Source organism: Homo sapiens, chromosome 10 (genome assembly GCF_000001405.40).
Source record: "Homo sapiens chromosome 10, GRCh38.p14 Primary Assembly".
NCBI classification, from domain to species: Eukaryota; Metazoa; Chordata; class Mammalia; order Primates; family Hominidae; genus Homo; species Homo sapiens.
In genome coordinates this window covers 58,268,704-58,292,348 of record NC_000010.11, presented here as the reverse complement: position 1 = coordinate 58,292,348, position 23,645 = coordinate 58,268,704, and the positions used below count along the sequence as shown (strand labels likewise).

General features: G+C 36.8%; 1 protein-coding gene across 1 annotated transcript, besides 4 other annotated features; it reads right to left on the bottom strand.

The window, feature by feature from the left end:
- Positions 1-2,762: 2,762 nt before the first annotated feature.
- CISD1 (CDGSH iron sulfur domain 1) lies at positions 2,763-23,187 on the bottom strand. The gene is made up of 3 exons (NM_018464.5): positions 23,045-23,187; positions 15,027-15,232; positions 2,763-4,788 (listed from the first exon to the last, which is right to left on the bottom strand). The coding sequence occupies exons 1-3, from the start codon at positions 23,073-23,075 to the stop codon at positions 4,699-4,701; spliced, it is 327 nt and encodes a 108-aa protein (NP_060934.1). The 5' UTR covers positions 23,076-23,187; the 3' UTR covers positions 2,763-4,698.
- Positions 22,760-22,809: a silencer, noted in NCBI's record as "silent region_2377". NCBI's record gives its function as "represses an Ori minimal core promoter by ATAC-STARR-seq in GM12878 lymphoblastoid cells {active_cell/tissue: GM12878}" and the evidence as "EXISTENCE:reporter gene assay evidence [ECO:0000049][PMID:35858748]".
- Positions 22,925-23,481: an enhancer, noted in NCBI's record as "H3K27ac hESC enhancer chr10:60028628-60029184 (GRCh37/hg19 assembly coordinates)". NCBI's record gives its function as "activates a minimal SCP1, AML or CMV promoter by ChIP-STARR-seq in naive H9 embryonic stem cells {active_cell/tissue: H9 hESC(naive)}" and the evidence as "EXISTENCE:reporter gene assay evidence [ECO:0000049][PMID:30033119]".
- Positions 23,030-23,079: an enhancer, noted in NCBI's record as "active region_3384". NCBI's record gives its function as "activates an Ori minimal core promoter by ATAC-STARR-seq in GM12878 lymphoblastoid cells {active_cell/tissue: GM12878}" and the evidence as "EXISTENCE:reporter gene assay evidence [ECO:0000049][PMID:35858748]".
- Positions 23,400-23,459: a silencer, noted in NCBI's record as "silent region_2376". NCBI's record gives its function as "represses an Ori minimal core promoter by ATAC-STARR-seq in GM12878 lymphoblastoid cells {active_cell/tissue: GM12878}" and the evidence as "EXISTENCE:reporter gene assay evidence [ECO:0000049][PMID:35858748]".

The following is a 23,645-nucleotide window of genomic DNA, read 5'->3' as shown; positions in this document are numbered from 1 at the left end:
TTGTTGGTTGGTTGGTTTTTATACCACAAGTTTAGCCACAGAAGTGCTGATTAGGTAGACTACTTTATAGCCAATCTTGTCAGAATAAGAGCTATTCAGTACATTTTCCTAAAAGCCATGTTCAAAAATTTAGAATACATGATGTAAACAAATATGAAAAAAAAAAGGTAATCAGGTTTGGGGGCAGAACAAGACAAAATATTGACTTCTTGGCAGTTACCTTTGTATCCTTTAAAAATCGTGCATTCAAATCTATTTATTAAACAAGTATTTACTGAACATCTGCTATGTACTTGTAACTGTTCTGGGTACTGAGACTACTGTAATAATCAAAATTTTAAAAATTATTTTCTTTCTCAGGGATTAAAAAAGGTGAGTGCTTGAACGTTATAATTATTTTCCAAACCAGATGCCAAAAGCGTAAGGGAGTCACAGAAATGTAAACTGCTGCAAGTGACCGAACTTTTTGGAGTACAAAGGTACTGCAAGTTCAGGGACATATACCAAATGCATATACTAGATGGCATTGTTAAATTATGAAATGTAATTTATGGTTTCATATTTTCATTATCAGAGACTCAACACTAGGTGGCATCCAGGGTCAGGCTGAAAGCAGTAACTAGCAATGGAAAGCCAATCATACTAGCTTCTGTGCTAGATGCAGCTTCCCTGTGGATTCTAAGAGAAACAGTTTTAAAAGAGAAAGCGGTGAGGTTGCTTTAACTAATGATCAAAATGTTCTTTGCTGGGAGGGATGTGAAAGTGAAAAGATATAGAAGGTTCATGTGAAGGCTACAGGGTAGACTGCATTGGAAAGATGAAGGCTGAGACATTTTAAAAGTTTAAAATCATGGTATTCAAGGAAAACACATAGCATTATTGTCTAGAATAAGGAGAAGAAACCTGTTAAGAAAGTTTAGGATTAAAAAAAAGATTACTGTGCAGATATGGATGACATAAGTGGAACTCTACTTTTCACAGCTGGGAGACTCTGAAATAAATTTAACAGACTTTGCTAAGTTTAATTGATGATAAAGCCATAAGAGACATAATCTCTCGTCTGTATCTCATGTCGATCTTGTATAATGAGTTAGATAAACCACTGCTTATGAAATTGTTGGCAGGCAGTATCACCAGCAGAAAAATTATTTACCTCCCAGTAATGAGCATTCAGGCAGGTGGGCAATGCTCGAAATTATTTTAAATGAAAAAGCTGGGAATCTACATAATGCTGCATATTTACAAATGAAAACGATGTCACAATTAAAGAACAAAATATTAACATGAATTGACTTCTGGTTATCTGTAAGGGACAGGATGGAAGAACTAGAAATACATTATCCACAGAGACACAGGTATTAAAGAGAACATCTATTTTACACAATATCTAGCTGACAACATTCTAAGCTCAGCATTTTTCTGTTCCATGCTTGGGGTTGAACTGTCTTTTTTGTTGTTCAGGGATGTAAGAGCTAACACCATAGCAACACTTCTAATTTATAATCTTGTATTTCCTCACTGATTTACTGATTAAACAATTTTTCCCCTTTAGGGCAATTCCTGGCAATTTTGGTTAACACATTAACAATAGATCTCCCTGTTGTGTGTTTCATTTAATCATTTAAAGTTATGGGTTGGGCACATATTAGGATGTATTGGCTTTACCCTTAGTTTGGATCCATGATGGTAAACTGAATGGAAGTAAGGACTTTTTTTTGTTTTTTACAGTAACTTTCCATGAAGTCTCACCTCAACACATTGTGCTAATGAAAAATTCCATATAACACAAGCTAAATCTCAAAATAAAACTGTTACTTTAATACCTTAATAAGTCTCAGAACTTTAGATAGGATGTTGGCTTAGTGGTTCCCAGACTTTTAAATTCCATGGAGCAGTGAAAAAAAAAAGTAGGGATCAACATTGGGCTGCCACCTTACTATTTTGCCAAGCTACTACAATCAACATTTCATAAAAGACACTTAAATACCATAAGAGCTGAAATAATCATAATAAAAAAATCAAATTTGAGCTTTCTATCAGCATTATTTATATTTTTCCTTTGAGGAGAGCTGAATATTTACTGTTGGCCTAGAATATGGGAACAATTGCCTAAAATGCCATTTAGTCCATTCACTTCACAATTTAAAAGGCTGAGAGGTGAGTGGCTTTGCCTGAGGTCAGCTAGTATTAAAATCAAGGAGAAAAAGCACAGCTTCTGACAACTAGAATTACACACCCTCACAGATACCCAAGCACAAAATACTGTGTGTTGCTAATCAGAAGCTATAGTCAATGCCTATCTTAAAGCAAAACCAAATCAAAAACCTCCCTAACTAATGTAAAATCAAAAAATCTCACCTACTTTGTAGGAGAAATAGTAGGTATACATGGTTGTAGCTGTTTTTGTCAAGAAAGTAAATCATAAATTATCATAATTATATAACCTATGCCATAAATAGTGTGAGCTTCTAATTCTCCAAAATGTTTCTCTGTCTCAATTATATGGTCTACAGATGCCTAATAAATGTCTGTTGCATGAACAGATGAACAAGATTTTTCACATTAGAAACTTCTCAACCTAGTACACTCTTCAGAAATAACTAGAATATAAATGACATAGAGAAAAAAAAGATGAAAGCCCCACTTGTCTTGCCTCAACGAAATGAAAAGCACTTAGAAGCATTAAGGTGCTTAGCTAGAACAGTAATTGCACACAATGATTTTTGTGTAAAAAAATCTCATATTAACCTAACCACACTCACTTTGGTTTTTAGGTCAAATAACCTGAAAAGGGTTTTAATCATAAATGAATGCTAGTTCAAAAGCATGTAAACATTTTAACATGACCTTGAAAATACATTTACCTAATTATTTTGGCCTTTCAAAATGCTCAAGATCTATATTTCACAGTAAGGTGGTCATTTATAATTTTGCCATATGTATACACACACTCATATAATCCTATAGTTTTGAGAACTGGTACCAGGTTCCCCCTGACATTACAAAAATGCATGACTAACAATATAATTTCAAATTCAAGATAAAGAATAGTCTGTTAAGTTAGAAGGATGTCCCTTTATCAGAAACACTGGGAGTTGATGCATTTATTTTTCTTTAAAACAGTTCATCTTTAAAAGCATGATTGCTCTGTTTTGCTGACATGCATACTTATCTTAAAAAGAAGGAGGTGGGCAAAGAAAAAATTTACCCTAAGAATCTAATAGAATCAGTTTGTAGGATTTTAGATTTTATGATGAATATGTGACTTAAAGACATGTCCAAGTTAGTTACATGGGCTTCTTAAAACCACTGTACAATTTTGTTACCAACTTTTATCTACAGTAATACACAAAACTACATATTTAAAAATAGCCATGATCATATATTACATAGGATATGCTGCTGTCAGGTTTGATTCCTGTCAAGGTAAATGGATTTTAGCAAGTAGAAATTTGTGATTGACTACTACTGAGAATTCATGTATACTAAAATAAATGATGATGTTTACCTGCTTTATCAATTTCAATTGTTTGCCCAATTTTCTGTAAATTTTGCCATGATTTTCCTTCTAACCTATGAAATTCAAAAACCTAATCTCTTTAAAAATATTTATGAACTATTTGTCTTAAATCTTTTATTGCTAATTATTTTCAGTTTTTATATTTTCTTTTTTCTGAATCAACAATGAATGCAATGTTTCTGCTCGGAGTCTTTGAAGAATATTACATAAACAAACACTTGTCTTCAAATTTTTGCTTTTAAGAAAAAGATCATACAATTTAAAAGCCATGTGCTTGATTAGCTAGAGTGGGAAAAAAAAAAATCTTCCCACGCCTTTGATCTAATCTTGTGACTACTATTTCTGTCAGGATATGTGGCTTAGTGATCAAAAGACTTGACATTATATGTTCCAATTCCTTCAAAATCCTCAGTTCAAGTGCTTACCATTCCTTGGGCCAGAATTCTGGAACATTAGATTTTAAGACATTCTTCATGACTAATTTAAATCTAATATCACCTTTAACTAAATTTTCACTATTGGCTCCTTTAATGGATCCATCTTCATTAAATATCTGTGAAGATAAATATGAGGAAGTTACCACCCCTTTATTATTGACCTGACTTATGAAATTAAACAGAATAACATTTATCAATCATTTTGATTGAAAACGGTGAAAAACAGAAGCCATATTTTCTCAGTGTCATTACCAATGTCAAGAAAATCAAGGCTACAACAGGTCTTTCCTAGATTGTATTAAGAAATTAATGTAGCTGAATCACATCCTATTTAGTTTCCAGGTCAATATGAAAAGATGGTAATTTTTCTTTGAAACTTACAAGTACAATCTGCAAATACATAATTTTGAGAATAATTTAATATGTTGACTTCAAGATACAACTATATTCTATATAAGGTACAACTCTATATGTCAGTATTTTAAAGAAATGGATCCTTACAAGACCAAAATAACCCACAGGCCATGCAGGTTGGTTTTTCCTTTTTTTTTTTTTTTTTGTTTAAACAAATGTGCACCACGATGTTTCAACAAGACAAATGCCATAAATGTGAAAGCTGCAGTTTGCAATATACCACATTTAGAATCCAGCGAAGGTGAATCAGACAGAGGTGGTAGTCATTCTAATTAAACAATCAGGTAACTTCACGACAAGCTGATTTGCAGCATCAAAAGTGTCCATTTAAGTTTCTTTTTTCTTGATGATCAGAGGGCCCACATTGTCTCCAGTCTCTTCGTTATGTTTTGTGTGAGCCCCATCACAGAATGGGAACTAGGAAGAGAAAGAATGAATGTGAAACATCTAATCTCAAAATCAGTATTATGCTCGGCAGAGTGGAAGGTGATGCTTAATTCATATAACATAAAGATTTTCTTGGCTATCTTATATAGGCTTTCTTAAACAGCATATGTAAACTACATATGCTACTTAGTAAGATGAAGAAATTGACTTGTGCATAATACACACATCATTTATTGAATTTCAGTGTGATTGTGATGAGTGTTGAAGGCCTTTCTTATGTTTATATATTAGTTACATTCCTTTCTAGTGAACATGTCCATTGCCTATTTACTTCTAAGAGTTTAAGTTCATTTATTTAAAATCAATTTGCGGCCAGGCGCGATGGCTCATGCCTGTAATCTCAACACTTTGGGAGGTTGAGGTGGGTGGATCATTTGAGGTCAAGAGTTCAAGACCAGCCTGGCCAACATGGTGAAACCCTGTCTCTACTAAAAATACAAAAATTAGCCAGGCATGGTGGCGAGTGCGCATAATCCCAGCTACTCAGGAGGCTGAGGCTTGAACCTGGGAGGGGAAGTTGCGGTGAGCCGAGATTGTGCCACTGCACTCCAGCCTTGGTCTCAAAAAACATAAAAATAAAAAATAAAAAATAAATCAACTGCATATTATTCCTCTGTTATTTTTGCAGCAGTCTTTCCCAAATCTTTTCATTTTGCTTATTTTTTCATATTCTCAATTTCTCCACTTTCATACAAATATGTCAATATCTCCCTTTTTAACATCATTCATGGAGACAGCTTTCTTCTAGAGATGTGAGAAATACAAATTTCCATTCATTTTCATGAATTCACATTTTAGATATAACTGCTGTTTTGGTGTCCAGTGGGAGGGAGAGGGACAAAACTAAATTTCTAACATAGTGTTTTGCAGAGTGTGGTCCAAAGAACCTGAATCCTGCAAGACACTCTGATTTGGTTTCATTCTGTGTTAAAAAAACATATCATATAGCCCATTTGAATCACAGCACACATTATTTTAATTTTGCTATAAAAAACACAATTTTATCCCAGAGTTTCTCAAGGTGACTGGACTATGGACACTTTAAATTTTGATTTCTATTATCATAGTTTTCTGTAGAGCACACTTTGCAAACGCTGTTCTAAGATCCTGTTGCTTCAGCATTACTGGAGGCTATTGCTTCCCACATTATTACCTTTATTCGTAACTTTATCAAAATAAATTCTACATGTAAAAGCACCTATTTATAGGTTCTATGTTACGTTGATCGGCCTACTACGCTGGGATATTTGCATTTTAAACATTTCAGTGTTTTGTAGGGCTAGTTTTCCTTCATTGTTTCTTTTTTTTACTTTTTTTTTTTTTTTTGAAACGGAGTCTTGCTCTGTCGCCCAGGCTGGAATGCAGTGGCGCGATCTCGACTCACTGCAAGCTCCGCCTCCTGGGTTCACGCCATTCTCCTGCCTCAGACTCCTGAGTAGCTGGGACTACAGGCGCCCGCCACTACGCCCGGCTAATTTTTTGTATTTTTAGTAGAGACGGGGTTTCACCGTGTTAGCCAGGATGGTCTCGATCTCCTGACCTCGTGATCCGCCTGCCTCGGCCTCCCAAAGTGCTGGGATTACAGGTGTGAGCCACCGCGCCCAGCCTGTTAACTTTATTAAACTTTATCACTTTATTCCTCCAGATAAGCTTGAGAATGTTTTTTGCCAAGTTTTAATTTCTTTTGTAGTTTTCATCCTCAGATCTCATGTATATTCTGGTAAGATTATTTCTGTCATATTTTTAATCACTATTATAATTTATTTTCATATCTGAACATTCTTGCTATATAAAATCATTTTTAACAAGTATATCCTCTATTGTAAAATGAAAAAATAAGAATTTAATAATATTTCACTTAACTCTTCAGGATTTTACACTTAGAAGGAATAATTATCAGTAATTTTTTTGTTTCTCTATATTTGTATCTTTTATTTCTATTTCATGTCAAATGACAAGAGCTAGCATCTTTGCCTTAATCTTGGTGTTTTGAATGTATCTACACTCTAGAATCTAGAGTTTCACTGTTTAGTCTAAGGTACACTGTTGCTTTGAAGAAGCCTATTTAGAAGAGTAAAGTAAGAGGATTCTTAGCCTTATGAGTAACAAGTACCTCATTACGTGCAGTGAAGGGAGCATAACAGATCAGTGAAACTTCACAATGATGGTATTTAATCTTAAACTTTGATATCCAAAAGGCTACTTAATGTTAAAGTAATCAAATTTTAATCTATCTGTAAATAATTGCAAGAGGCACTAAATTAGCTAAAAATTACAGAAAAACTCAAGGTATTGGCATATCTTATATTTCCAGATATAAATTCTATCCTGTCGTAGAGGGCAGTGTAAATGTAATATATGTAAAGTTTATATTATTTCTTTTTTTGAGGTCAATAAGATGTGGTACACAGTATATTCATATTAGAAACAAGCCTTGATGCAAAAACATAAAGTCAAGCTTTCAGTTTTTTCTTGGCATGGATGAGGAAAGAGGCGATAAAAATTAAACTAAAATGTATCCCACAGCAAAGTACAGCATTTCAAAGTGACATATGTTTAATAAACAAACACAGATGATTTTACAGTGAGCATAAAAGTTTACATTGTAAAGACTCTTTTTATAAATAGCACACACAAAACACTTCACTATAAATTAAATCCATGCAGGCAACATTTCTGAAAAATGAAATATTTCTAAATAACTTACTGAAATGGCATGTTTAACTTTTATTTTTTAATCTTATGTTGAAAATATTAGAAACTAACATTTTCTCAAATTATTTTCCTCCATATACAGAATAGGAGAGAAATCTATAGAAAAAATATACAAAGAAAATCTTACAAAATATAAAGAAAGTCATATATCAAAAGTGAGAATACATTTTTTCTCATCACCCAATTCTGCCTAAAAACTGAAATTAGCCTGTTTCTTCATATTCTTAAAAGCAAACACATATTTCTTTAAAAAGCAATGAGTAGTTTATCCTGGTTATTTGTTAATAAACTTTCATGCGATTAAAGTGTATAAAGCTTTTATGCCTTTATAATGCAAACTAGGTGTTAAAAATAATTTTGTGCAGAGACGTATTTTTTAATAGTACTTTTTATATCACTTAACCCTAGGAATTACTGCCTTATGTGTCTTGCTTTATTTCTGATCTATGCAGGAGAAAGATAATATGTGGTGGGTATACAGTTTTTTTTTTTTTTAAGAGATTAAATTAGATTGCACAGTGGTGCAATCGCAGCTTACTGAAGCCTCAATCTCCCAGGCTCAAGGGATCCTTCCATCTCAGCCTCCTGAGTAGCTAGGACTATAGGTGCATGCCATCACACTCAACTAATTTCTGCATTTTTTTGTGGAGACAAGGTTTCACTACATTGGCTGTTACATTCTCAAAGTGTTGGAATTACAGGCCTAAGCGACTGTGTCTGGCATTATATACTTTCAAATACAATGTAGGAAGTACAGTAATTTTTACATTAAATAATGTACAAAAATATGAGAATTTTATTAACTTTTTCATTAAACATTTTGAAATTTGTTAAATTGTTTTAAATTATGAAAAAAACACAAAGAATATTAAATTCAGTTCGTGTAGTATTGATACTTAATTTATTCTAAGATGTCAGCGTTTGTTTATTAACAAATCCTGGAAAAAGTCTGTAAATCAAATTTCCTTTATGTCCAGAAAACATCCTTTTATGTTTGTTAACCCAATTTGAACACTACAAATCCCAAATATCTTTAAAAGTGGGGGAAGAAAGGGTTAGAAGAAGTTGGAATAAAGCTTTAGTAGAAAAAACAGTGGAGGTCCTTGCTCTCCACCTGGAAAGCTAGCAATGCTATATGGATCTTCATAAAAACACAACATTTCTTTTTAATGGCCCCACATCTCAAGTTATGCCTCTGTTTTAATAAATGCTCCTCTTTGACTTATCTCTTCCACCTGAAACAATTTTCTTTTAAAGACTATCTTCCTTCTCTGAACTTCGTACTTTGTATTAGAGTTTTGATTTTCTGTCCCAAGGAAGTTGCCTGGCACCATTTTGGCTCATTACCATAAACTGTCCAGAAAAATATGCTTGCTTTGGTTGAGAACGAAAACGAAGTAATGAGATTTTTGAGACTAACCTAGAGATTATGACATTTTATACCATTCTTATGTACCTATTTCAATAAACCTAAGACAGTAGCTATAATATGAAAATGTACAAAGATAAATTAAGATTTTTATAAGACTGTCTTTATGTGGATTGGCCAAGGAATGTCACCAACATTCAGAATATCGTTTTTATGAAGAAAGACTCAGTAAAATGCACTTCTAAGCCATTAACAGGATGGAGGATTTCTCTTTTTCCCCCAACACCCTCCCGCCAAAAAAAAACACCCAGGATCAAGCCTACTACCAACGACAAAACAAAAGTATCATTAACTCAAATCTTACCCTGTAAATGAAAGAAAATGAGTCTAAACATGTCCAGTTGCATTTCATTTCAATTTCAGTTCAGCTCCTGATGTTAACTGGTAAGACTTTCCTCTCTTTCTTCTTAGTCTGTATTCTTTTGCTGTCCTTGTTTGAACTGCCTCCTAGGTGGCCGTCATACAACTCAGCAAGTGATGTAACCAACCTGAAGTTGCAGGGAAAGGAACCTAGCAATACTACATCCCATACCCTTCCCTCTTACATCAGAGTCCTTTCATCTTCTTGTTTCGAAAGTAAGACTATCTCTTCCTTTTTAAGGCTGAGTTTCACATCTGTGCTGTTACTCTCATTTCCTTCCACCCTTTGTCAAGATACCGCTGACTCAAATAGTATCTTTCCCTGTAGTCACTTTAATCATTTCCTCTATACTGGCTCCTTTCATTCTCACTTCAAATATGGATAGCCCTTTTGTGAAATACAATTGGCCCCATCTGTATCTGTGGGTTCCACATCCATGGATGCAACCAACTGCTGATAGAAAATACTCGCTAAAATAATTGTATGGGTACTGAGCATGTACACTTTTTTCCTTGTCATTATTCTCTAAACAATACAGTATAACAACTATTTACATAGCATTCACACTGTATTAGGTATTATTTGCAATCAAGAGATGACGTAATAATTTAAAGTATACAGGATTATGTGCATAGCTTATAGGCAAATACTGTCATTTTAAATCAGGGGCTTGAGCATTCTCAGATTTTGGTATCCATGGGAGGTCCTGGAACCAATCCATGGACACCGAGGGAAGCCTGTACTATAAAATAAACCAATTTCTGGGCCGGACACAGTGGATGACACCTGCAATCCCAGCACTCTGGGAGGCCAAGGCGGGTGGATCACTTGAGGTCAGGAGTTCAAGATCAGCCTGGCCAACATGGTGAAACCCTGTCTCTACTAAGAATACAAAAATTAGCCAGGCATGGTTGTGCATGCCTGTAATCACGGCTACTCAGGAGGCTGAAACACGAGAATTGCTTGAACCCAGAAGGTGGAGGTTGTAGTGAGCTGAGATCACGACACTGTACTCCAGCCTGGGTGACAGAGTGAGACTCTCTCAAGAAAAAGAAAAAAAAAAAAAGCCAAGCCAATTTCTGAAACATCAGATGACATACCAATGCTGGCAAGAGAAGCACTGGACAAAAGGGAGGGATATGTTTTTAAAAAATGTAATTTCTGCACATTACTAAGAAATCTGATTCATTAGGGTTGGGAAACCTGCTCAAGATGTTACAGACACACAACAGGTTACTAGTGACTGCACCTTAAGAATGAATTAGATTTGAAATTTGTATCGCATATAACATTTTTTCCATTGGTAAAATGATGTTTAAATTTTGTTATAAATACAACTGGTTTGTATGAGGGAAAAATTACTGACTATAAACTCAATGTAGCCACTTAATCAAAGGTATTAATTAGTCTTTGTGAACTGGCGTTTAAGTGTGTGACTTGGCACCTGTGTGATAACCTTAGAACCACAGGAATGTGGGGAGTTTCCAAAAGTCTCTGAAGAATAACAACATTTGTTAACTTGGGTAATATTCAAAGCAAACTGTTAATTGATTAATGCAGGAATAAGTGCCCAAGATGCAATGAAAATTCAGAACTGACAAATTCAAGACACAAAGAGGATCACTAAACAGCATAAAAGATAAGCCAGAGGGGGAAAAAAAGGCATGAGAAAACTGGAAATAAAATGACTGGTCTCATTCCCTCTCTTAGTCCTCTCTCAGTCCACCTACAGGAAATGGCAGTCCCTGGCCTAACCATCTGGAAACTCTAAATTGTAAAATGAAAGAATAATCCTGGAATGTTTTGAATTATAAAGTCTAATAAACATTTACACCACTAGTTTGTGTCCACTGGTGATTCTTCCTGAAATATTTGAGATCTTAGTTCATGAAAGCCCATATTTAGTTTATTGGATTCTTTGCCCTCTGGGAAAACCCAATCAAAGCAAACACCCTTTACTTGATCTCAAAGCCAAGCTGTAGTGTTCACTCAAGCAATTATGTTACTTTTCTTTCCATTCACTGTTGCATCTACGGAAAATATGACATAGACTTCTGTCGTTTCTTTATTAGTTAATTTGCACTTTAACTCACATGGACATAGCTTCTATTCTAATTACTCCGTTGAAATGACACCAAAATGGCAATTGCTTAATCTAATAGTCTTGTCTATTCATGTAGCTGTCTTTGCACAGGCCAATGTTCAGTACCAGATCATTGAAACTTTTCCCTCTTCTACTTTGAAGCTATGATATTTTTAGTTTTATTCTAACCTCTCTGGCCCATTCCATCTCCTTAAATGGCTCTTGTCCCCCTTCCAAAATGCAGAAAATTCCCCAAGATTTCATATTTAGCCCTTGATTTTTATCCATATCAAAGATCAGTTGCATTCCTACACTTGACTCATCAGTTTTGCTGATCTCTATCTCCAACCCTGATGTCTCACATTTCGTGTTGTCTGCTGTGCATTTCCATTCAACTATCATCTCAAATTCACTCTCTGAAACAGAACTCCTTATCGCTGTCCTGGAAAATTTGCCTTTTACCTCGAATCTCTTATTTCTGTTAATGGCATAACCCTCTTCTAATCCTACATGCTTAGATCCTTCAATGAGCTTTAGTTTTTCTCCCCTAGTCTTTCACACAGAAGTCAGTGCATTTGGCTGATCCTTTCCCCGAAATCTTTTATGTCTCTGATCATTTGTCTCCATTTCCATAGCTAGCACCCCGGTAAAAGTATCATAACTCTATGTTTGAAACCCCTGTCAAGGAGCTCCCCATGTCTGGAGTCACAGACTCCTCACACTGGTCCTCAAGATTGTCCTCAGTTTAGATTTATTCCTTGGGGAAGGGCAGTACAAGAACCAGACTAGATTCTTTATTCATTTCACCTTTGTTCACAAGTCCTTCCTTGCAGATTTTGAGAGTCTCCAATATATGCAGTTTATTCAAATGTTACCAATTTTTCTCAGAGCAATTTAACTCCCAAGTATATGACTATGCTTTCCCAGAAGATGTGATGTTTTTTTAATTAAGAAAAAACAAAAACAAACAAAAAACAGAGACTGGGTCTCACCATGTTGCCCAGGCTGGTACTGAACTCCTGGCCTCAAGTGATCCTCCTGCCTTGGCTTCTCAAAGTATTAGCATTACAGGTGTGAGCCACTGCACCCAGCCTCATGGTGTAATTTCTTCCTTTTAGCTTCCATTTATTTAGACCACTTACACTGCATGTACTATATACATCTGTGACATCTGCTGTTTTACTCTTTAATGTTTCTCACGCATGCATATATAGTAGATAGTAAATGAACTACTGAAGATCACTAAGGAACTATAAAACTCCAACTTAGAAATTCCACAATTTCTAGATTACTTTATTATTTTCTAGTAACCCCACCAGTACTTATCAACAATTTCAAATTCCAAATGAATAGTGCTCTTCATAATTTGTTGTAATGAGCCTATTAATTTCTGGTTTATATTCAATATAGTCATCAAGGAATTTTTGAACAAAATGGCATAATCTAAGTACTTTATCACTGGATTTATTGGGAGAAAGGAGTGAAATATGCTTTCTAGTATGGGTTGAGTAATCCTTATCTGAAATACTTGTCATAAAAAATGAAAATAAATGCTTGGGACTTTTCATAAAAATGAAAAGAAAATCTGAAATCCAAAATGTTTTGGATTTCAGATTTTTTCAACTTTTGAAATGTCTGCATATACATAATGAGGTTATCTTGGGGATGGGATCCAAGCCTAAACACAAAATTTACTTATGTTTTATATATACCTTATACATGTAGCCTGAAAGTAATTTTATACAATATTTTACATAGTTTTGTGAATGAAACAGTTTGTATACAAGGAACCATCAGAAAGCAAAGGTGTCACCATCTTAGTCACACATGTGGACTATCTGTGGTTATCTTGTATCACCATCATTCCCGACTATGAATTTATATGCTACTGATAAGCAATCATTTTCTTGCATGTATTCACATGTCAGTACTTAACAGTAAAAAACATAACATACCATTAATTCAGTTAACAAAAAAAGTGCTCTGGGAAATTAAGCAGCATAATAGCACCACCAGAATACCTACATCAGCAGCTGGGGGGGCCTTTTTTTCCCTTTGGGTCACTGACTTAACTGTGTCCTCTGCGTCTGTGTTTTGACTTCAACCGGTGAACTGTCACATGAGGTCAGGTATGGAATTTTCCACTTGTGGTGTCATGTCAGTGTTCAAAATATTTCAAATTTTTGAGCATTTCAGATTTCAAATTTTTGGATTAGAGATGCTCAACCTGTACCTAGTATGTGGCTTCTTCCATATTTGTGACAAGTTATTTGCGAAAATGACCCTCTACTATGGGGAGAGATCCCCAACATAACGTGCTTTCAAAAACAGATACATCATTTTTATTGATTTTTTTGGGGGCCCTTTAACATTATTTTTTTCATTGTATTTTATTTTATTTTTTGAGACAGGGTCTCATTCTGTCGCTGGAACGCAGTGTGATGCAATCACAGCGTGATGCAATCACAGCTAACTGCAGCCTCAACCTCCTGGGCTCAAGTGATCTTCCTGCTTCAGCTTCCTGAATAGCTGGGACTACAGGTGCATGCCACCATGCCTGGCTATTTTTTTTTTCAACAGATGGTCTCACTATGTTGCCCAGGCTGCTCTTGAACTAATGGGCTGAAGTGATCTGCCTCAACCACCCAAAGTGCTGGGATTACAGGTGTGAGACACCACGCCCTGCTGAAATCCATTTTATTTGAATGCTAAGAGTGATAGTACAGTGTTTATACCATATTTCTCACAACACACCAGAAATCCTGAAGTCATTCGGTGTACAAATCCTTTTGAGATGCTCGAGACAGTATTTTATCAACTGTGGATCACTAGCTGCCATCATGTCTAAAACCTGCAGGTTTCATAGATGACACCTCCAAAAGGGACTTGATAAAATACAATTCTCATATAAGAAAATAAGATTTTAGGATCCTATATTGTTAGATATTTAACTAGAGGAGTTGCAGCTGAAAGAAGGTATAGGACATTTACCACATAAGTTTTTACGGGTGATTTTAAAGAAGTTTCTTTTCAAATTTCTAACACTTGTCTTAGTATCTGGTGCTTGAAAGCTCAAAAAAAATTTTTACTTCTTCTGCTTCTCTTTGTGATTAGGCTGTACACTTCACTTTCTGGGACAGTGGAAGCTAAGAAATCCTAAGAGCAAATTAAAGGGATTTTCTTCTTTTCTTTGGCCAAGAATATGGTTAAATCTGCCTGAACTCGATGAGGGTACAACGTAATTCTACTGCATACTGGTTAGATATTTTAGAAAATATATTTCTTTAAGAGCATATGGAAGGCAAAGAAGAATAGGATTCATTAAAAAAAAAAAAAGAAAGAAAAAGTGATATTATAACAGGTCACACGTGGTGGCTCACACCTGTAATCCCAGCTACTCGGTGGCTGAGGCACAAGAATCACTTGAACCGGGAGGTGGAGGTTGCAGTGAGCTGAGATCACACCACTGCACTCCAGCCTGGATGACAGAGCAAGACTCTGTCTCAACAACAACAAAAAAGGGATATCATAACAATATCTGGTGAACAAGTCTGACAGAATAATTTAAAAAGAAATATAACATTAAAAATGGTACTGTATGAAGGAATTGCTTTCCTCACCTTTTTGGACCTCCAACAACGGCAGTACACAGCTTTATCTCCCAAATCCTCCATGTCAAAAGCATGTACTATCTTGGGGTTGTCTTTCTGGATGTGAAGGTTTATCATAGCTTTATTTCGATGATCTTTAACATAAAATCTTTTGTAAGCTAGATAACCAATTGCAGCTGTCCCAGCAGCAATGGTAACTGCTGCGATCCATTCAACTAGAGCAGGGAAGGAAAACAAATAATTATCAAAACCAAAATATACACCAATAATATCACATGCATGTCAGAAAATCCAGTTTTTGAGTATTAAGCATCCTAATAGTCCAAGGTTTTTAATGTTAACAAAATGATCAGAAAACACTGGTATAATAGTCCTTTGTTATGACTTTCCCTGGCCCTTATTGAAGCAATTGTGTATTTTCTACTGAGTGATGATAGCTACATTAAGTAGAAGAAACTTAAAATTATTATTTTAGAGCTGGAGTAAAAAAAACCCAAAGCTCAATAATCATTTAAAAAGTGTTTATAAGTAAATTTTAAATAACATGTGAACTTGCAGGTAACTATTGCTTAAAAAAAAAAAAAGCCCCGAAACATAAAAATTCAGATTACAAATAACATTTTGTTATGTTAACAAAATGACTCCTTTGAGTTTATTTAAATAGTAAGATCCCTTAGTGATTTTTAAATTATTTAATTTACCAAAACTCAATTGCAACTATCACAGAAAGCTGTAAGAGAAATGATACCCAAAGAAACAGATAAACAAAACAAAACCACCCTTAATGTTAATTTTCAAAGGAATATATGTAGCAGGATTCCAGGTTTCAAAGTCATTCTTCATTCAAAAGTCCTTTGTTTAAAATTTCAAAGTGTTTTCTCATTAAAATAAAAATCAGAATGTACTAACTTCATATTTTGTAGAAAACATGATTATATAAGTATAGTTATATTCTCATTTAATAAATTCTAAATATATTTTAATTTTCTATAAAATTTATTTTAAATTTAATGGCATTATTCTGCTTTCTAATAATAAAAAAACTGACTAACAAGCCATCTAGTTATTCTTTTCAAGCAGCTTTTCAAGTCTTTAGAAACCCAAGGACTTAACAACTACCCCAGCTCCAGGCAATGTTGGAGAGAAGAAAGTTCTGCATAATCTGGTTAGCCTCAGCCTCAGAGGAGAGTTGTCTATTCCCAGCATGGAGTGGGCTGCAGGAAGAAGTTGAACAGGGGTCAGGATAAACACACTGGACTCCTTCCCAGCACTTCCTGAGTCAGATCTTCAGTGTTTGAAATAAGTTCCCAGACTATCAAATAAAACCCTAGACAGACAAGTACAAAAAAACACATCCCAAGGCCAAATAAAAACACATAATTAATAATTAGTTGTATAGTTTACTTGCACTATTGAGTCAAATTTCTTATTTCACCATACCTAATAGTACCTTACATAAAACTGGAGCTTAATCTTCTAAAACTGTAATATAAAGGATCATTCTCAGTCTCTTGTATCTTGGTCTTCTTTTCTAGTTTATTTAATAATTTAGACTTTATCTAACTTATTCCTGCATTTTGCTCATCTCGTAAGAGAGCATAATTTCTGCCTCTTCCGGTTTATCCTCACTTTCTAATTAATGTGTTCCTTGGATTTTATTTTCAACCACGGTAGTATTTTTCTTAACAAATTAATTTATACTGTTTTCCTTCCCGTAGCATTATCATTCTTTCTTGCTATAATTCCCTAATAAACACTAATGTTTCGTCTTTCCCAGGTCCTGCATGACTGAGAAGACAAGTTAAGTTAATATATCACCTGACAGCTTCAAACCTTTGGCCTCATCAGAAGACATTTTTTAAGTAGGTACACATTATGTGTAGATTTATCTCCAACTTTAGTGCTGCTTCATGGTATTACCCTGTGGTTATTCCAAGCAGGTCTACAATTTTGCTATGACTTCTGGCTAGATTCATGATCTTCCTTTCTAATGTTATTTACCATGGAACTTTCTTGAGAAAACATTTCCTATGCCAGGAGCTGTAGCAATCCACTTCTTAGCTAATGGAAAGCCACTCTGAATAGCTAATGTACCTATCACAAAATGGGCGAAAATGCTGCTTTGCATAGTATATGCACCACAACATTTGCTGAACATCATCTTTAGTACAAACTTAAAGGGGGGCAATATCCCAAAAGACTAAAATAACGCAACTTCCTTAATGCTGTCGATTTTAGTTACACTTTACTTTTTAGGTGAATTATAAAGTACTTCATAACATATTTGTTTGATGGCACCTGCATATTGCAAACAGTCCTGAGATCCAAAGAACTACAATTGGTTAGTATTGGTTAATTTGTTTCATGACCTAAAAAGAGAATACTATAGGAATTTCTACATGAAACTCATCATGATAAGTGAAAATAATCTCTCCTAGTCATTAAATCCCATTCTTCTTGCATTCTTTTTTCTCATGTAATTTGCCAACTGCACCCACAGGTCACTTTTTTTTTTAAGCTTTACCTCCCTTGGATTTTGTGATGGTGGGAGACAGGACAGAATAACTGACATGGAAAAGGGGTAACACCAAAGGCATCATTGAAAGAAATGGAAACTGACTCCAGATACCCAAGACTAGCTGCCCCATGGGGAATCAAAACACACACTTTGTGCTCTACCCCCAACCCCTAGCAAGGGCCACTTATGACCCTATGCCAATGTCACAGTACCATGTGTTCGAGGAAAATAGCTTTGTATTTGCTCTAAGGTCTTGAGAAAACAATTTCCATTTCTTTTTTTTTTTTCCCTTCCCAAATTCTAATTCTGTAATCTCATTAGGGACAAATGCAACAGTTCCCAGAAGTAAAAAAAAAAAAAAAAAAAAAAAAAAGTTGTTATTTTATCACTTCATGAGTGTAGCCTGAATCATCAGTCTTTTCTGGCAAAAAGCTGTGGATGCCACTGGCAACTCTAAAGGAAAAGGAAACTATACAGAGATAGACAAAAATGATGACAGGTCCAAAAATCAACAATTAGGATAAAGAAAGAACTGAAGACCTGAGAAATTGAACAAATAAAAATAGCAACATCCAATAATCCCTGATAAATGGGTATATGCCTATTAAGAATTGTCATAATCTCAGAAGCAACAAGGAACTTTACTGAGACCCAATTCTTTTTTCTTTTTTCTTTTTTTTTGAGATGGAGTCTTGCTCTGTTGCCCAGGCTGGAGTGCAATGGCACAATCTCAGCTCACTGCAACCTCTGCTCCTGGGTTCAAGCAATTCTCCTGCCTCAGCCTCCCAAGTAGCTGGGATTACAGGCGCCCACCACCACACCTGGCTAATTTTTGTAATTTTAGTAGAGATGGGGTTTCACCATGTTGGCCAGGCCGGTCTTGAACTCCTGACCTCAGGTGATCCGCCTGCCTCGGCCTCCCAAAGTGCTGGGATTACAGGCATGAGCCACCATGACCAGCCCTCGCTTTTCTTTTCTATAGACATTTCTCAAGGACAGTTAATTCCTGTAGTTAGGTCAAACCTCACCCTACCAGACCTTGTGTAATCATGCTTTATATCTACACAAATACCATTAAAGATCACAAATGTAGAGAAAGGTAACACTTCCAATAATTTCTGAATAATCCTCCCATTTGCTTATTCTTCCATTGGAGTACTATTGTATAATCTTTGGTTTTCTCTTTAAAATTATTCAGAGAGAGAGAAAACGTGGACTTGTTCCCAAACTCATCAGCCTTGTATATAACCCAATCTTCAGCTTTTTTTTTTTCTTTTACTGTGAGCATTATTTTGCTTTAACTTAGAAATCTCTCTCGGCTTCTTTTACCTTAGCCCCTTTTCTGCTCTAAACTGCCCTCTCCAGCCCACCATCAACTGCCATAGAATCATAATGTTTCTCCTCTTCTATGAGGAGAGGGGGAGGGGAGCTGTGCTTAAACCCTTCCCTCCCTTAGATCTCCCATAGGCTGGCAGGCCGTGCCTGGTAATTTTTTTTTTTCTCAAGGCCTGGCATATAAGTGATATTCAATAATGTTGGTTGAGTCAAAAGAAATAATGGATGACTAATTTAAATTTGCAATTCCTATGTGCAATTTTTCTATCCTTACACTGCATTGCTCTTATACTAAATGACTTATCTTTACCTTCTTCTTAACCTGCTGTATCAGGGTGTGGAATTTACTCCCTGATACATATATTAAAAACAAACAAACAAACAAACAAAAAACTTCAGGTATATATAAGAAGCTATGTTTTAAAAAAACTTTATTATGGACCATTTCAGACACACACAGGGAATACTATAATGAATCCCATTTACCCTCAATTAGCTCTAACCACCATCAATTTGGCCAGTCTATAGCTCCAAACTCCCCCCTTATTTTTCTTTTTTTTGCGATGGAGTCTCGCACTGTTGCCCAGGCTGGAGTGCAGTGGTGCAATCTCAGCTCACCGCAACCTCTGCCTCCTGGGTTCAAGCAATTCTCGTGCCTCAGCCTCCCAAGTAGCTGGGACTACAGATGCGTGCCACCATGCCTGGCTAATTTTTTGTATTTTTAGTAGAGACGGGGGTTTCACCATGTTGTCCAAGCTGGTCTCGAACTCCTGACCTCATGATCTGCCCGCCTTGGCCTCCCAAAGTGCTGAGATTACAGGCGTGAGCCACCGCACCCAGCCCTCTTATTTTTCATTTATTGTTTATAACTTATAGGAGCTATCCCTTTTATTTTCAGTATGATCCATACCTTTCTTTTCAGACAAAAACCCTTAAATAATGACTTTAAATGACTTGGTGAATTTAGTGAACCAAAACAATATTTTCCTATGTTGTGGTTAAATGAATTAGAAAATTAGTTTCAATAAAATACACAAGAATATGAAAGAGAATAAGAATTTATGAAATGTAATTTTGGTTACAAGCGTTGTAGTGATCAGGGTTTGGGATAGATAATGAAGTACAAGATGAACAGACAAATCCCTATGTTGCAACTTGAGGGTAAAGTAAAAAAAAAAAAGTGATTTCAGGGGAAGGCAGGTTAAGGGATGCCTTTCAAAATTACCTGGTATAGTTGGCTTTTTTTTTTTTTTAAAGATGAGGGTGAATTATGAGTGACTTAAGGCTGAAGAAAATCTTTATGAGGCACTAAATATTTACGAACAACAGATATCACTGAGGCAAAGATTTAAGCAAAAGAAAACGGCATCTGGAGGACATGGAGAGAGAACAGCCTAAGAGTTAACATCTTCCTTGCAAATAGAAGAGAAAGGGTTAAGGGTGAGAGTGATCAATGAGTGCTAGAGTTATCAAGGAGCAGGATGATGTTCAGAAAGGTCATCTATTTGGATATGAGGAGGAATCATAAGAGACTGGACGAGTAGGCAGTGAAGGCCACTTAGTACTAGAAAATATAATAAACTAATGGTCTTATCGACCATACTGGTATCAAGAGCTATCTCAATGATCAGGATCTTAAGAGTATTTCAGTTCCAATCATTCATTCTCACTGCCTCTGCCTGATTCCAGTCCTGGCCTGATTCCCGTTAAATTTTTTTTTATAAACTACCTTTTATTTTTCTTCTGATGATGAACAAGAGTTCTGCATACACGTACACACTTTATATTTAACATATATTTATATAGTGCTTACCACTGTCACATATCATTCTAAACCCTTTATAATTACAAATTCATTTAATTGAGAAGAGACATGATATCTTTCCCCCAATTAAAAGATCTAAATTGATTTTCAATCTGTAGGAATAAACTTGGTTTAAAGTTTGAGAAGAGAACCAAACTTGTGTGTGATCTAAACATTAAAAGTTAAATCCCCTCGACATTCTCTTTCCCTACCTTGCCTACCTACTACTATATTGAGGAGGAAAATGTTGGTAGAAGAGATTTACAAAGGCTTTGGGCCTCTCCCTACAGTCCTCATGACAACTTGCATGCTTTTTGGTGAAATAAAAAATAGTCGGCCGGGCGCGGTGGCTCACGCCTGTAATCCCAGCACTTTGGGAGGCCGAGGCGGGCGAATCACGAGGTCAGGAGATCGAGAGCCATCCCGGCTAAAACGGTGAAACCCCGTCTCTACTAAAAATACAAAAAATTAGCCGGGCGTAGTGGCGGGCGCCTGTAGTCCCAGCTACTTGGGAGGCTGAGGCAGGAGAATGGCATGAACCCGGGAGGCGGAGCTTGCAGTGAGCCGAGATCCCGCCACTGCACTCCAGCCTGGGCGACAGAGCGAGACTCCGCCTCAAAAAAAAAAAAAATAGTCATGGCAACGTGTGGTGTCTCACATATGTAATCTCAGCACTTTGGGAAGCCAGGGGACCAAGGAGAAAGGATGGCTTGGGCCCAGAAGTTCAAGGTTGCAGTGAGCTATGATCACAACACTGCACTCCAGCTTGGGCCACTGAGTGAGACTCTGTCTCAAAAAATAATCACTCCTCCTAACAAAGTTGAATACTTCCAGTTGAAGCCAATAACCTGCTTCAGTGATTTCCTATTCCTTAGGCAATGGAAAATGATTGGGAAAGTTGCCTTTGAATTCCCCTATGGTTAGACTTGAAAAACAAAACAAAACAAAAAACCTTGTCTTGTCTAAAAAAGAAATCCTGCAGACCAGCCTGCAGATAGCGGTAAGTCCTAAGGGGTTCACCCGTTTCACATTTCAATAATATGCAACCTAAATAGAGTTTAGTGTTCATGTACACAAAATGATCCCGTATTTTAAACACACACTGTGGAATCTTTTGGTCCACCTCAAACATGTGCAGTCTTCCTGTAAAATTAAAAATATCAGCGGCACAAGTCACATGAACATCTCATTTCACAAGTCTTAATCCCAAGAGAATATAGTTTTTTAAAAAACAAAAACAAAAATCACACCCTATTTTAAATGCACCAAGCTGCCTCTATTAAAAAAAGTCTCAAGATGAGTATCCTTTAATATAATTTTTGCAAATAATAATCTCTATATCATTAGTAACTTCGAAATGTCATGGAATATCACCCTTAGCCAGGTAAATTTTGTCAACAGAAGTGGAACTCTCCAATTTTTGGAAACTACCTATTAAAAAATTAGGGCTCAAGTTAGTAGGGACTTTTTATTACCTGGCACTACAGATGTTCAATATTTACTGAACGTATTTTTAATTAACCTCTAGACAGTCTCTTTGCCTTTACTCAAAACCTTGCGAAGTGGCGTTTTATAGAGGGGCAAAGATCACATATATTGTGTGTCTGGTACACAGTATTATATTAACAATTATAACATCACCAAGAATGGTTATAAAGTGAAACTCCACATTAAATGACTGCTTATAAAGTCTCTTAATTTTATTATAACGGGACTTTCTGCGAAATACTGTTTCCAAACGCTAGGTACTAGCACAGGGGAAAGAAGACTCAGAAAGCTGAAGGTTCAACGAACGCAGTTTTCAATCCTTTATCCTGGACTACTGCCACCGAGTGTCAGATGCCAGAGGAATAATAAAAAACCGGGAAAACTGAAAACCTCGGATTGCGTTTCATCCCTTAAAAAAAAATCTGCAAAACTAAGATGTGATTAGTCACGCAATGCTTCAGGATTGCAGGAAATCGACGTTGTGGCCCGACGCTGACTGAAACATGAGAAGGGCAAACAGGTTTGCTGTTGTTTTCTCCCACCTTTCCTTCTTTTCCAGGCTATGTGACTTAAGGACATGAAAGCGTCTTAGGGGTGAACAAGAAAAGCTAGCGGCGCGGTCATTAGGTGTTAGGGTTTGGCTAGCTGGGGTAAACGTGGACTCTGGTCCGGCATGGCCCCAAACCATCAATCCATCCCTGACCTCGCCCCCTTTCGCTGTCCGGCCCGGAGCCCGCAGCCGGGCCGAGCGCTTGCCCTTCTGCATCTCAAGGTTATAGGACCGGCGGGCGCGTAGGGCAGTGGTAAAACAACCCAGTCGAACTGCGGGCGCGGCAACCGCTGAGCCTCACCAGCCTCACCCGCTCCCAGGCCCCACTTCACCTCGTACGCTGGAACTGGAAGTCAGACTCATGGCGCCGTCGCTTGCAAGGCGTGTGCACTAGGATACCGAGCTCAAACGGGTTCGCGCGGCCGGCGAGAGTAAAGGTGCCAGCGGCGTACTAAAGCACCGACTCCGCGATGCTACCGCGCAGGCGCCGCGGCGGGTCGTAGGCACGTGTGTGAGCTCGACCCTGGTAGGTGCTGAGCATGCGTGGAGCTGTCCTGGCCATAAGGAAGTCTGGACTCCGGATTTTGACAGCTACGGGAGGTGGGAGGAGGAAAAGACTTAGGTAGCAACAGAGTTTGCGCAACGCCGAGGGGCGGGGCCCTGAAGCCGAGGGGCGGGGCCCTGAAGCCGAGGGGCAGGGCCCTGGGATTAGGGAATCCAGGCCAGATTTTACGTCTCTTCCAGGTGTGTGGGCTTCTGGGGGCAGAAACAGGTGTTAATAGGACACTTACTTTAATCAGATACCTAAGATTTGACCCCAGTTTTTCTTGCTCGGGGCTTGTGACGATTTACCTTCAAGGCCAGGTCCAGCTTTTATATAACATGCCAGCGGCGGACATACAGGAATCAATGACTGAGTCCCATTCCAGAACC